This window comes from Homo sapiens, chromosome 1 (assembly GCF_000001405.40).
Source record: "Homo sapiens chromosome 1, GRCh38.p14 Primary Assembly".
Taxonomy (NCBI): domain Eukaryota; kingdom Metazoa; phylum Chordata; class Mammalia; order Primates; family Hominidae; genus Homo; species Homo sapiens.
The window spans coordinates 200,612,124-200,625,729 of NC_000001.11; the positions used below are offsets into that span (position 1 = coordinate 200,612,124).

The following is a 13,606-nucleotide window of genomic DNA, read 5'->3' on the forward strand; positions in this document are numbered from 1 at the left end:
TCCCGAATAGCTAGGATTACAGGCGCCCACCACCACACCTGGCTAATTTTTGTATTCTTAGTAGAGACAGGGATTCACCATGTTGGCCAGGCTGGTCTCAAACTCCTGACCTCAGGTGATCCGCCTGCCTTGGCCTCCCAAAGTGCTGGGATTACAGGCGTGAGCCACCATGCCTGGCCAACCAGGCTCTTAAGCATTCATTACACTATGTTATTCAATGACATAGTCATTCCACGCAAAATCTGAGCCTCCTAGTCCTTTGAAATCATTCCAAAGACCTTTGCCTCCACTACACTTATCTATGTCTTCCTGGCTTTACCTTCAAATTACTATCCCTCTAAAATCTGGAGAGCCAATAGAGAACTCTGCCCCACAAGCCCACAGCTTTCTCTTATGCCCACTAAACTTGGACTTGAATCATATTTCATCTCATAGTCTCAATACCACCATATTTCTATTGATCCCCATACTCCTCCTATTTTCAATTTAATTACTGGGAATGAGAGGTTGAGGGTAGAAGAAGACAGAGGAGAGGCAGTATATCCACAGAAGAGACAGAACTCATCAATTACTCAAATCTACTTTTCCTCTTGTGATCTCAAAAAATGACATCGATATCTAATCTGGTTGTCCAACCAGAAACATTGATTTCTCTCTCCCTCATCCTCCATTTCCAATAATCAGCAAGTCTTACCAGTTATCCTTACTAAGACAGTCCTTCATGAGCCAAGTTCTGCAGGCCTTTCTAGTTTATTCTCTTTTTTTTTTTTTTTTTTTTTTTTGAGATGGAGTCATGCTCTGTCACCCAGGCTGGAGTGCAGTGGCGCGATCTCGGCTCACTGCAACCTCCATCTCCCTGGTTCAAGCGATTCTCCTGCCTCAGCCTCCCAAGTAGATGGGATTACAGGCATGTGCCACCACACCTGGCTAATTTTTGTATTTTTAGTAGAGACAGGATTTCACCATGTTGGCCAGGCTGGTCTCGAACTCCTGACCTCAGGTGATCTGCCCGCTTCGGCCTCCCAAAGTACTGGGATTACAGGCATGAGCCACCGCACCCAGCCTCTAGTTTCTTCTCTTATCACTTTCCACCCTCAAATTCCATGCTCAAAACACAGTGAACAATTTATAGATTCCCAAAGGCTCCCTACTTTTTTGCTTTCAAATCTTGGTACATGCTGCTCCCTCTCCCTGGAATATCCTTCTCCCCTTCTTTACCAAGCTAATAATGCTATGTATCCTTCAAAAATAAGCTCAGCTGCTCCTTCCTCTGAGAGAATGTCTCCCTCCAACTTTATATGTCCTCACTTACATGTTCTATTAGAGCATCTACTTTAGTTTGTTTAGCATTTAATTGATTGTACTTGGCTGTTAACTTATTTCTCCCACTACACTCCTTTGAATACAGGGACTGGGTCTTTTAACTCCACACCCCTAATCTAGCACAATTTTCCCAATTTCCTTTATCATAAAAAATACTGGAGGAAAAGCATGAAAATTATAAAATCCCAAGCTCTACACCAGACCAACTGACTCAGAACCCCCAGAAGAGATTTTTAGCAAGTGTGTACATACACATACACATGCACATATATGTCCCTGCCAAGAATCCCCGGTGATTCTTATGACCAAGAAAATTTGAGAAAAAAAAAAACTGATCTAACAAGCTGCCTGGCAACAGCAGAATGCTCAGTAAAAGGTAGCTGAATGTGTAAATGAATAAGTGAAATAGGAAGCCAGTACAGCCTATTCAGGTGTAGTAGAGTGGAAAAAGCATGGCTTTTGAAGTCAACTCTGGGTTCAAATCCCAATTTCACTACTCTTTCTGATTCACGTTGTCCAAAAGGTTATGCCTGCTGTCCTTAGTTAAACTGTACACCTATCTGACTACAAACACACGTATAACAGCACATAGCTACCATGTTTGTGAGCCTCTACGTATACACAAAAGTAAAGCAAAAACAAGGGAGAAAAGACAGAAGAGATGACTTCACTATCACTGCCCACTAGGTGAAACTGATTCTGAATTTAGAATTTCCACCCTCCCTCTCCATACCACTGTTCCAAAGAAGAGTGATCTACAAATTAGAACTGATCTTCCATTAAGTATTTCCTTAGTGGCCATGACTGATTTGAACTTGATTTGACTATTTTCTACTCTGAAAAGAAGCTTGCAGGTATTATAAGAACATACCTCTTGGGTTTGTTTTCTGGCTACTTGAGAAAAAAGATCTTCACAAAATCTTGGAATTATTCCTGGTTCTTCACTAAATCCCATCATCCTGAAAAATACATTATGAATAAGGGGGAAATAAAACTAATTCTTTCTTTAAAATTCTTTTTGGGGAAATAGGCTGGGAAGGGAGTAGGAAGCAAGTTCACTGAATCTCATAATTAAGAATCTGGACTCTGGAGTCAAATCTGCCTGAGTCCAAATCTTGACTCCAAGATATTTAACCTCACTAAACTTCAATTTCCTCTACTGTAAAACAGGAATAATACAACTATCTAATTCAGAGAATTGTTGTGAAAGAATATAAGCAAAGTCTTTAGCACAGTGTCTGGAATATAGTAAGAACTCAAATGTTGGGCAACCCGCTTGGGACCCCTCCACGCTGTGGACTGTGGAAGCTCTGTTCTTTCGCTCTTCACAACAAACCTTGCTACAAAAAAAAAAAAAAAAAAAAAAAAAAAAGAACTCAAATGTTAGCTACTGTTAAAATGCTGAGTATTTCTTTCTAGGACAGGTATTATTATCATAGCTACCATTTATCAGATGCCCCTCCACCCTTTTTTCTTAAGAGATGGGGACTAAGTTGCCCAGGCTGGACTCGAACTCCTGCACTTAAGCAATCCTCCTACCTCAGCTTCCCAAGTAGCTGAGACTACAGGTGTGTGCCATCACATCTAGCTTAGATGCCTTACTTTTAATTCTCACCAAAATACTTAAAAGATAACCTCTCTAGGCCTTAGTTTATGTAAAATATATAAAGTACAGTAAAATGGGGCCAATGATAATTACAAGATGAATTGTATCAAGGTAAATGTATAAACTGAAGCCCAGAGGCTAAGTAAATTGCCCAAGTTTGCAGAACTGGTATATAAAATGGATGAGATTTGGGCCAAGATCTGTGTGATTTCAAAACTATATTCTTTCTATCACCCCTATGCCACTTCTCACAAAAGTATATTTAAACACTTCTGGATAATTGCATTTCCAATACAACTTACGTATATGATTTTCCAGAGCCAGTCTGACCATAAGCAAAAAGACAGGTATTGAAGCCTTCGAAGGCTCTTTCTAGGAGTGGTGCTGCTAGCTTCTCATAGACAGTTGTCTGGCTAGCGTAGTGAGGATGACATTCATCAAAAGACCAGAATGAAACATCATAAATAAAATTATAAACTTGTTTCGTGTCAGGGTGTTCCACAGTTATTTCTTTCCCACTCATGAAGACTACCTGGGATGCTTTTTCAATCTTCTCTCTTGAAAGAAGCACAAAGAAAAAAATCAAGTAACTAAAATGATCAAGGGTATTATTCTCACAGAACATAATAAATACCTCAAAACTATTTAAACAATCTTCCAAGGCAAGATAATTCTGTAGTTTTATGTGGAAAATGCAGATAAGCAAACATAATTCTAGTGGGTTTCCAAAATATATTTCCTGAGGCTCCAGTGCCACCAAAGGGAAAATCCCAGATTCCTCCAGAAAACCTATCCTACTTTTACAAGATTTTTTCCTCTTTTTTTTTTCTCTTGAACTATACCTTTTCCCATCCCACCTACTATAATCTACCTATACTCTTCATCCAAATCTACATCTTTATTATACAAATTTGGGGGGGTACCAATCTAAATAAAGCTGGCATAAAATACAAATATCTAATTTTAACAAACTCAGTTGACTGTAAGTTTCAATCATAAGTCTCTCTTGGCTACTAAAGATCTCTCCTCCTTCCTCTAGATTCTCTCCCTTAAAATCATGAATCTTTCTGTATATCCTTTTTCCCTTTGAGACTTAGGTGGAAATCTTTCATTTACTTTAGATCTACAGAAAAACATCATCACTCTTTGTCTGGCTCCAGATATACACTCCCTCCCCGCTCCATCCCTGACTCTGAGACTGCTTTAAATCAGAATTTATTCTGGAAAAAACACCTGCCTCATCAATTTGACAAGTACTCTACCCTGGCCCTGCTTTCAAGGCTTGTCTGATGAGTTTGGAATCAGGCACTTGGTCCCTTACTAAGTTCAGTATAGTCATCCATCTTGCATTTTGTCCCTACCAGCTCTTTCTATTGTTTCTCTTCCTATCATGGTTCTTGAGGCTCTATTAGACATTCCAATTCTCTCAAACCAACTCACCCTCAGTTCTCCCTCTTAATACTAACCCATTTGCACGAAAAAGATTCTACAGTACTGTATAACTTGCCTTTAACTACTGACCCCTTAGGTTCAAACTGGAGGTTCCTGCCCTGATGCAGTGGTCACCAAATCCTCTTCTAACTTGCTTAGATACACAGCTTCAAGTTAAACACTACTAACTCTGTGAAGTTTTTCACTGTCCCTTAAAATATTTTAAACAACTACATTAAAATATTTTAAAACAATTACATTTTGTCACATTCACATTTTGTCATGTCCATCTTTTCCAACCTTATCTTTAATCTGTGTCTTCCCCACCCACAACCACTTTTAGAGAGAGATTTTTTGCCATCAAAATCAAATCTAATGTATCACTGCATTTATAACTACTATATAGTAATCGGAGACAATGATGATGATAATCACCACTCTGGAAAGGGTTTTGAAAGGACCTCTTTAGGGAACCAGTAATTTGTTATGGCTCTTCTTTTTTTTGAGACAGTCTCGTTCTGTCGCCCAGGCTGGAGTGCAGTGGCCTGATGTCAGCTCAATGCAGCCTCTGCCTCCCGGGTTCAAGTGATTCTCCTGCCTCAGCCTCCCGAGTAGCTGGGATTACAGGTGTGCAACACCATGCCCAGCTAATTTTTGTATTTTTAGTAGAGACAGGGTATCACCATATTGGCCAGGCTGGTCTCAAACCCCTGGCCTCAAGTGATCTGCCTGCCTTGACCTCCCAAAGCAATGGGATTACAGGCGTGACCCACCACACCTGGCCTGTTATGGCTCTTTTTAAGGGATAGGTATAACATTCCAGCATATATTGCAGATCTGAAAGCAGATTTCATTAGAGACCTAAGTGACTTATTCAGACTTTTTAAAAGCAATATATCTAGAGAAACTTCAATATACAAAATATGGTGATTCAATTTTTTAATTTTATAGTCAGTGATCAAAAATTATCAACACACACTACAACTAGACCTAAAAGTTCTTTCTATATAAAAGTATTGCCAACAAGTTTGAAGATGCACGAATACACTGACCTTCCAAAGGCAGAGAGGAATTAAAGGTACCTTACATGTAACTGCTTGGCTTTAGATTTTAAAAGGCATCACATACCTCTTGGTGAAAGGTCTTACGCGTACTGCCACTGTCACTTGACTATTCTCTACTTTTAAGGGGTCTTTTCCTGCAGAGGTGTTCTGAACTACAGTTTCTTCTTCGGGAAGAATTGTATTTTCTGCGGATCTTTCCTGTTTATTTGCAAGAAAGGAACTTTTTGGTCTTTGTTTAACTTGAAGGTTAGACATTCTATTCTTCAGTATTGATGGAGCTGGGCTCTTAAGCTGAGGCAGGCTGCACTTTGTTGTCAGTTTGTGTTCTGTTGTACATTTTGTAGGTGTTCTTTTTTCTAAGCTCCCAAATTTATTTGAAGTTTTTGCAATTTCCTTCCCAATACTTCTATGATACAAGTTTCCTGTTCCCAACACTTTGATATCCAACTTGCTCTGAGTAGGTTTCGTTGTCAAGTGTCCTGATCTAACAACTTCAGTCTGACTCAGGGAAGCAATGGGTGGTCTATTACTTGAGTACTTAAGTGCAACATTTTCATTTGCTCTACTGGGGGCAGAAAATGTTTCTTTGTATTTCTTATCAGCCATCATTTCAATGACCTGTGGATCTTCATCTAAAGGTACAGAAGAGGCAACAAAAGAGTTTTTAGCATTATTTACAATCCTTACATTTGTTCTACTTTCCTTAGAAACACCATTATTTTCTGTTTCACCTCCCACATTCAGTGTCATTTTGACAGAATCTATTTCAGCTGTTTTCCACTTTTCTGCAGAATCTGTTTTAGCACGACGTTGTAATGTAAGACGTGTTTCTGCTGTTTTTTCAGTTGTGTCTTCCAACTCACTAACAAGCAAAGATGATTCTTTGTTCCTTGTAGTTCTCCTCTGAAGTGCCAATCTACCTACAGGATTAGGGGTAAGGGGCATGTCTGCTGTTTTTCTACTGGCAGAAATAACATAAGTTCTATTTATGTCTCTGACTTTACCTGCAGATCTCAATAATGGATCATCATTTTCACATTCTGACATATCCGACTTCAAATGCAGCTTAAGTCGGCTACTGTGGGTGAGGGCATTCAGTGATGAACTATTTTGGGAAGAAGGAATATCAAGAATATCACCGCTGTTATTTCTATTATGAGTACTGTGTAATGACATTTTGGCAGACAGTTATTTTAAAAAAGAATGTTACTAAGACCCTAAGCTCTTCTTTGGACATTCATTTGATTTCCAGCCATTTCTTATGTATCCATTTCTGAAAGTATCTGCTAAACTAAAAGAAAAAAAAAAGATTTAGATCACACAGACTACAAACAAGCTTTAAAAATATAGAGAGAACATCCCATTGTGTAAGTAAATTCCCAGAGGCATACATTACAATAGATCACAATCTGCAGCTCAGATACTGCTTCCAAGCAACTTCAGGCAAGTCTCTCAGAGAACTTACCATCATTATTCAACAAATATTGACTAAGTTTCCATTAGTGCCAGGCCCTCTGATAGATACTGTAGACTTCAAAGACAAGAATACAATTCCCATTTCTTTAGTCTAGAAGAAATATACTGATAAGCCATATATCAGGCCAAATGTGTCAAGTGACTTAGAAGATGTAAAAAGTGCATGCCAACATAGATTTTCAAGTACTTCCAGTGTGGGGAATGGGAAGGACTAAAGGAAACCCTAGCACCTAAATCAGAGTGTGGAGCAAAGTATTTTTATAAATACCTGCTACACGTATTTTTTTTTTTTGCCAATGTTCCATAAGAAGGTTTATTTTATTTTATTTTTATAAAAATATTTTTTTTGAGATGGAGTCTTGCTCTGTCACCAGGCTGGAGTGCAGTGGCACGACCTTGGCTTGCTGCAACCTCCTCCTCCTGTATTCAAGCAAATCTCCTGCCTTAGCCTCCCAAGTAGCTGGGACTACAGGCGCCCACCACCATGCCCAGCTAATTTTTGTATTTTTAGTAGAGACGGGGTTTCACCATGTTGGCCAGGATGGTCTCGATATCTTGACCTTGTGATCCGCCCGCCTCGGCCTCCCAAAGTGCTGGGATTACAGGCGTGAGCCACCGCGTCCGGCCCATGTATGTTGAATACAGGAATGCCTATAGAGAAGATTGAATTGATTGGTGTCACGAGGCAGATTATTCCCAAGTACCACAGGCAGTAAGTACGATAAGTACTGTAAATTAATTGTGTTGAGAAAAACCATGCAAGATTAGATAAACAGACAACCTGCCCTTTAGCAGTAAGACAACAAATTAGACAGAGGTGTATGTAAATATACAGCAACAATATCTATCAGGTATTAACGTTTTAAAGAAAGGGAACAGCAGTGACAGCTAAGAGACCTGGCTTTTAGTCAGCTTTGTATCCAACTCCTTACAAGGATGTAAACAAGACTTTAAATTTGCATGCCGGGTTCTAACCTGTAAAATGACACTGGTTCAAACTATTGCAAAGATTATTGCTAGCGAGGAACAAATTAATGGAAGTTCATTTTTAAATGAGGCTTTTAAATTTTTACATAAATAACAGTCATTACAAAAAAAATTCGTCAGCTTATAAGCATCTCCCATCAACGTTTCAACTCAAAATACAGAATTTTCCTGTTATGAAATGAATTTAAAGGCAAAAAGAAGATTCTGGAAATTCTCTTGCAACTAAAAACCATTTGCGATTTGCACAAATCAATACGGTTTCTGTTTGAGGAGTTTCGCCATCAGATTTTAAAGAGGACTGGAAGGAATACAAGGAAAATAAGCACAATCCAAACCAAAACATCCGGTGATTCTGTTCTTTCTCTGCTAGTCATTACCAGGGGCTATGACTAAGAATTACCTCTTAATGCCAACCGACTCGGGGAGACTCGGGGAGAAGCCCACGGGCCGAGAGGCCCTGAAGTCCGGCTTCCCGGTCCCAGCAGAGACGCTGCCTTGCGCCCTTCGTTCGGGGACCCCTTCGCCGCCGACCTGGAATGCTGAGGAACTGAATGGGGGACTGGAGCTAAGACCACCCGCCCGCAGAGCAGTGGTCGCCTGTAGGGAAAGCGTCCGCACGCCCTCCCCAGTGCCGAAACTTCGCCCCTCCGCAGGGTCCGGCACCTTGGGGACCCCCTCGACACAGTCCCCACGCCACTCACCACCTCCAGCGCCGGCTCCCCAGAAGGCCGCAATTTGAATGGGCGCCCCGCCTTCTGATTGGCTGCTGGGCGTCGCGTCGGGTGCCGCGCCTTTGCTTCCACCCGCCCCCCGGAAGTGCCGGTGGTTGGGCTCCGGTAGCCGTCTCTGAATGCTGGACTCGCCCCACCCTCATCTCCCAGGCAACGCTCCCTCCCCTCCTCGGGTTCTGCTAAAGCGTGGAGCTTGGCCCCCTTTAAATCCGACCAGAGGAAGGGGCGGCGGTCGCGGGCGCAGCGGGCCCCTCGTTGAAGTGGGTGTCAAACGAAAAGCATGACAGTGACACTCTTGTCGGTCTTTAATCTAAAAGAAGCCATTACATCGAAGACTTCACATTGTAAATGGATATTTGCCCCCAAGTTAATCATAATAATTAACTTTTCTAGTGTTTCCTATGCAAGGCGTTCACGTAGGAAATATGCTAAATGTCTTATATGAATTTTTAAACAGTCCTGAAAATCTTGTGAGATAAATATTAATGTTATCCCTCGTTTACAGATGAGGAACTGAGGTTTAGAGTTAAACTTGTGAAAGATCAGACAATTAGCAGTGGCATAACTAGAACTTGAAGGTTCTTGCCGCCGTACAATGTAACTCCGTTTCAGTAAAAGTTCCCTTTTTTTAATTTTTTTTTTCTTTTTTGAGACGGAGTCTCGCTCTGCAGCCCAGGCTGGAGTGCAGTGGCCCCTGCAACCTCCGCCTCCCTGGTTCAAGCGATTCTCCTGCCTCAGCCTCTGGAGTAGCTGGGATTACAGGCGCGCACCACCACGCCCAGCTAATTTTTGTATTTTTAGTAGAGACGGGGTTTCACCATATTGGCCAGGCTGGTCTCGAATTCCTGACCTTGTAAGCTGCCAGGCGTGAGCCACTGCGCCGCCCAGCCCCCATAAGATTTTGAAATCTGAAAAAATATTACAAATACATTCTGAAAAATAACCAAATAAATGAGAAAGACTAGATAAATAGATATTGTAAAGCAACAATGTTTTTTAAACAGGCAAAAAGTACAGAGATATTGAAGAAGTATTCACTGAGATAGAGACCATAAGTAGCTCCAATTATATAGACCAACCAAACAGATGATAAAGTACTCATTCTAAATCTTACTCTAAAAATCATTCTAAAACTCAATTAAAATTAAGGTATAAGGAAACTATCAGAAAATAGAATATAATATTTATCAGGGCCAGGTGCGGTGGCTCACGCCTGTAATCTTAGCACTTTGGGAGACCAAGGCAGGCGGATCACTTGCAGTCAGGAGTTTAAAACCAGCCTGGCTAACATGGTGAAACCCCGTCTCTCCTAAAAATACAAAAATTAGGCAGCCGTGGTGGCGGGCCCCTGTAATCCCCGTTACTCAGGAGGCTGAGGCAGGAGAATCACGTGAACCGGGTAGGCGGAGGTTGCAGTGAGCCGAGATCGCGCCATTGCACTCCAGCCTGGGGGACAAGAGAGAAACTCCGTCTCAAGAAAAAAAAAAAAAAAAGTTATCACATCTATGGGAAAATGATCATTCAATTTAGAAACAAAGCAAGATATGTCAAAGAAAAGACAGACAAACTCAAATACATAAAAATTTTAAACATATGTATAATTCAAAATAATAAAAATAAAATGTAACTGGAAATATATATTAAACATGACAGAAGACATAAAGACCTTTTTCAATTTTAAAAGGAAAATAAGCTCATAAATAGAATAAAGCAAGTATTTTTTTAAATCCACCAGAGGGAGACAAACAGAAAGAAAACGTGGAAAGAGTCGAAGTAAAACTGGCACGTTTGAAGCTTTCTGGATTATGTAAGATTTAAAGAAAAATGATTAACTCATGCTAATTAATGATCTCTTAAGATTAAATTTTTTTTTTTTGAGACGGAGTTTCGCTCTAGTTGCCCAGGCTGGAGTGCAATGGCTTGATCTTGGCTCACCGCAACGTCCGTCTCCCAGGTTCAAGCGATTCTCCTGCCTCAGCCTCCCGAGTAGATGGGATTACAGGCGTGCACCACAACCCCAGCTAATTTTGTATTTTTAGTAGAGAAGGGGTTTCTCCATGTTGGTCAAGCTGGTCTCGAACTCTCGACCTTAGGTGATCCACCTACCTCAGCCCCCCAAAGTGCTGGGATTACAGGCGTGAGCCACTGCGCCCGGCCTAAGATTAAATCTATTACAATTTAGCAAATTTCACAATTTTTAAATTATTAAAATGTGGTATGTATTTTCCTGGTGTTTGTATCTAGTTGCACTTGGGGTCTATAACGAAAAGGTGCAATAGGAAATTAATAATTTTAAAATGCAAAGGACAAAGCAAAAGTTGTGGAAAAGTGGTAAGAGCACTTTGGATTCTAGCTGAGGATCTGTCTCAACCTAATGGTGAGACCAGAGATAAGTCTCCTTACTGTAGATCCCTCGCTTGTGAAACGAAAGTGCTGGATTAAATCATCATAACCAGCAAGGATTGAGTCCTTTCTTTGTGCAAGATAAATAACCTAACTCCATAACCTTATAAGATAGGTATTATGATTATCGCTGTTTTACACATGAGGGAAAGTGGGTTTCCAAGGAGTTAAATAGCTTGCCTGACATTATACAACTACTGGGTCACAGAGTTAGGTTCAGAACTCAGGAAATTAAACACCATTTCCTGTGCTCTGTACCACTACCCTGTACAACAGTTTTTACAGATTCTTTCTGGATCTCAAATGTCTATGGCTTTATAATAAGGACAAGAGTTAAACAAACTGCATGAACCTAAAGGTATTTTAAAATCTGTCATATTTTGTATTTTCCTTCTAATTTTCTTTTTTTTATTTTTATTATTATTATTATTATTATTTTGAGACGGAGTCTTGCTCTGTCGCCCAGGCTAGAGTGCAGTGGCGCCATCTTGGCTCACAGCAAGCTCTGCCTCCCGGGTTCACGCCATTCTCCTGCCTCAGCCTCCTGAGCAGCTGGGACTATAGGCATGCGCCACCACGCCTGGCTAATTTTTTGTATTTTTAGTAGAGACAGGGTTTCACCATGTTAGCCAGGATGATCTCGATCTCCTGACCTCGTGATCCACCCGCCTCGGCCTCCCAAAGTGTTGGGATTACAGGCGTGAGCCACCGCGCCCGGCCCTAATTTTCTTTTTCTTTCTTTTCTTTTTTCTTTTTTTTTTTTTTTTTTTGAGACAGGGTCTCAATCTGTTGTCCAGGCTGGAGGGCAGTGTCATGACCATGGCTCACAGCAGCCTCAACTTCCCTGGGCTCAGGTGATTCCCCCGGCTCAGGTGATTCCCCTCACCTCAGCCTCCAGAGTAGCTGGGACTACAGGTGCATGCCACCACGCCCAGTTAATTTTTGCATTTTTTTGTGGTGACGGGATTTCACCATGTTGCCCAGGCTGGTCTCTAACTCCTGAGCTCAAGCGATCCACCTGCCTTGGCTTCCCAAAGCTTTGGGATTACCGGCGGGAGCCCCTGTGCCTGGGCTCCTTCTGCTTTCTAATACATGTTAGACCAAGAGTCTTGGAAGTATCCACTATAATATGCTTACATTTTTTTTTATCAGGTCTTGTTGATGAATCTTTATGAATTCAGTTGTTGTCACTTGGTGAAAAAATCTAAATACATTCAGCAATACTGCCAATAATTTTAAAAGAACAATTATGCAAGTAATCCCTATTATTATTATTATTATTATCATTAATATTATTTTGAGACAGAGTTTCACTCTTGTTGCCCAGGCTGGAGTGCAGTGGTGCGATCTTGGCTCTGCCTCCCGAGTTCAAGCAATTCTCCTGCCGCAGCCTCCTGAGTAGCTGGGATTACAGGCATGCGCCACCACGCCTGGCTAATTTTGTATTTTTAGTAGAGACAGGGTTTCTCCATGTTGGTTAGGCTGGTCTCGAACTCAGGTGATCCACTCCCCTCGGCCTCCCAAAGTGCTGGGATTACAGGCGTGAGCCACCACACCCAGCCTAGTAATCCTTTTTAATATATAAAGAAAAGAACTCAGGGATTAGAAAATATTATAGACTCTCTTTTTCTCTTTGAGTCATGCTGGTTTCATTCCAGGGAAGATTAGCAAGATTTAAAAACCATTGTCAGCCCCAAAGCCTAGTGAGTATCCTATTTTTACATAAAGGAAGCTTGGGTCTTACATAAAGTTTCATTTAGGAAGAACAATTTTTTTTAAGGCCTAGTTTGACCTTCAATTGGTTGTCTTCTTCCCATTGTGCTTTGCCAACATAGCCCAAGGTCATTCTGACATCCTGTTGAAAATGCTGGGGATTCCTCCAAGTAGACTTGTAGGTATTTTCCTAAAATGGATAATGAAAAGCTTCAAGTCACTTACTTTTCAACAAATTTACAGAGAGGTATTAGGTGATCTCAATAAGAATGTTGAGTATGTACAAATCACTCAGCTGTCTGTACTAACCCCAAAATAGTTCATAATCTCATTTCTTTTCGGTGGTACATGTCAATACTAGCAGTGTCTAGGCTGCCTAGAATTGCCTAGAATGACACATGTTTAGTTGTTTTTATAATCAATTTTTAGTTTGTGTATTCACATAAATCAATTTTCTAATTTAAAAAACAGCATAAAAAAGATTGTGTCAAGTAATTGCTTCTCATGTTCGTGGGTATAAAAGGGCAACTGTCAAGTAAGAAGCCACCTGGATTGCAAGAATTATACATCATCTCAGTCTTTCTAGAGGGGAGAGAGGGGAGTTTTTCTTCAGTGTTGTAGCTTCATGAATAATTCCACACCCATCCACATGTCTTTACCCGTTTACATAAGGTTTTTTTTTTTTTTTTTTTTTTTTTTTTTGGTTTAGACCACAGGCTGTTCTCTGATTCACTCAGGGGAAAAAAACATCTACCATCAGAAAGAGTTCTGCTCTTTTTTTTTTTTTTTTCTTTTTCAGATACAACAGTCTGGGGTACAACAGAGAGTTGAGTGTTCTATTTGGACTAACATTTTCTCAGTTTCCTCTAGCA

At 40.7% G+C, this 13,606-nt stretch overlaps 1 protein-coding gene across 15 annotated transcripts in view, besides 2 other annotated features; it reads right to left on the reverse strand.

Moving 5' to 3' along the window:
* The window catches only part of KIF14 (kinesin family member 14), a 69,255-nt gene extending 60,627 nt beyond the window's left edge, over nucleotides 1-8,628 (reverse strand). Inside the window, exons 1-6 of one of the 15 annotated variants that reach the window (XM_047436181.1) lie at nucleotides 8,288-8,628; nucleotides 7,429-7,551; nucleotides 6,429-6,715; nucleotides 5,489-6,344; nucleotides 3,232-3,486; nucleotides 2,195-2,282 (exon numbers count right to left, since the gene is read on the reverse strand). In XM_047436181.1, coding sequence (XP_047292137.1) covers nucleotides 2,195-2,282; nucleotides 3,232-3,486; nucleotides 5,489-6,344; nucleotides 6,429-6,600 — 1,371 coding nt within the window. In that variant the 5' untranslated portion in view covers nucleotides 6,601-6,715; nucleotides 7,429-7,551; nucleotides 8,288-8,628. Of the gene's footprint in view, nucleotides 1-2,194; nucleotides 2,283-3,231; nucleotides 3,487-5,488 lie in introns of all 15 variants that reach the window. The other 14 variants (XM_047436198.1, XM_047436190.1, XM_047436199.1 and 11 more) reach the window with 14 other exon arrangements.
* Nucleotides 7,896-8,397: an enhancer, noted in NCBI's record as "H3K27ac hESC enhancer chr1:200589147-200589648 (GRCh37/hg19 assembly coordinates)". NCBI's record gives its function as "activates a minimal SCP1, AML or CMV promoter by ChIP-STARR-seq in naive H9 embryonic stem cells {active_cell/tissue: H9 hESC(naive)}" and the evidence as "EXISTENCE:reporter gene assay evidence [ECO:0000049][PMID:30033119]".
* Nucleotides 8,566-8,715: a silencer, noted in NCBI's record as "silent region_1674". NCBI's record gives its function as "represses an Ori minimal core promoter by ATAC-STARR-seq in GM12878 lymphoblastoid cells {active_cell/tissue: GM12878}" and the evidence as "EXISTENCE:reporter gene assay evidence [ECO:0000049][PMID:35858748]".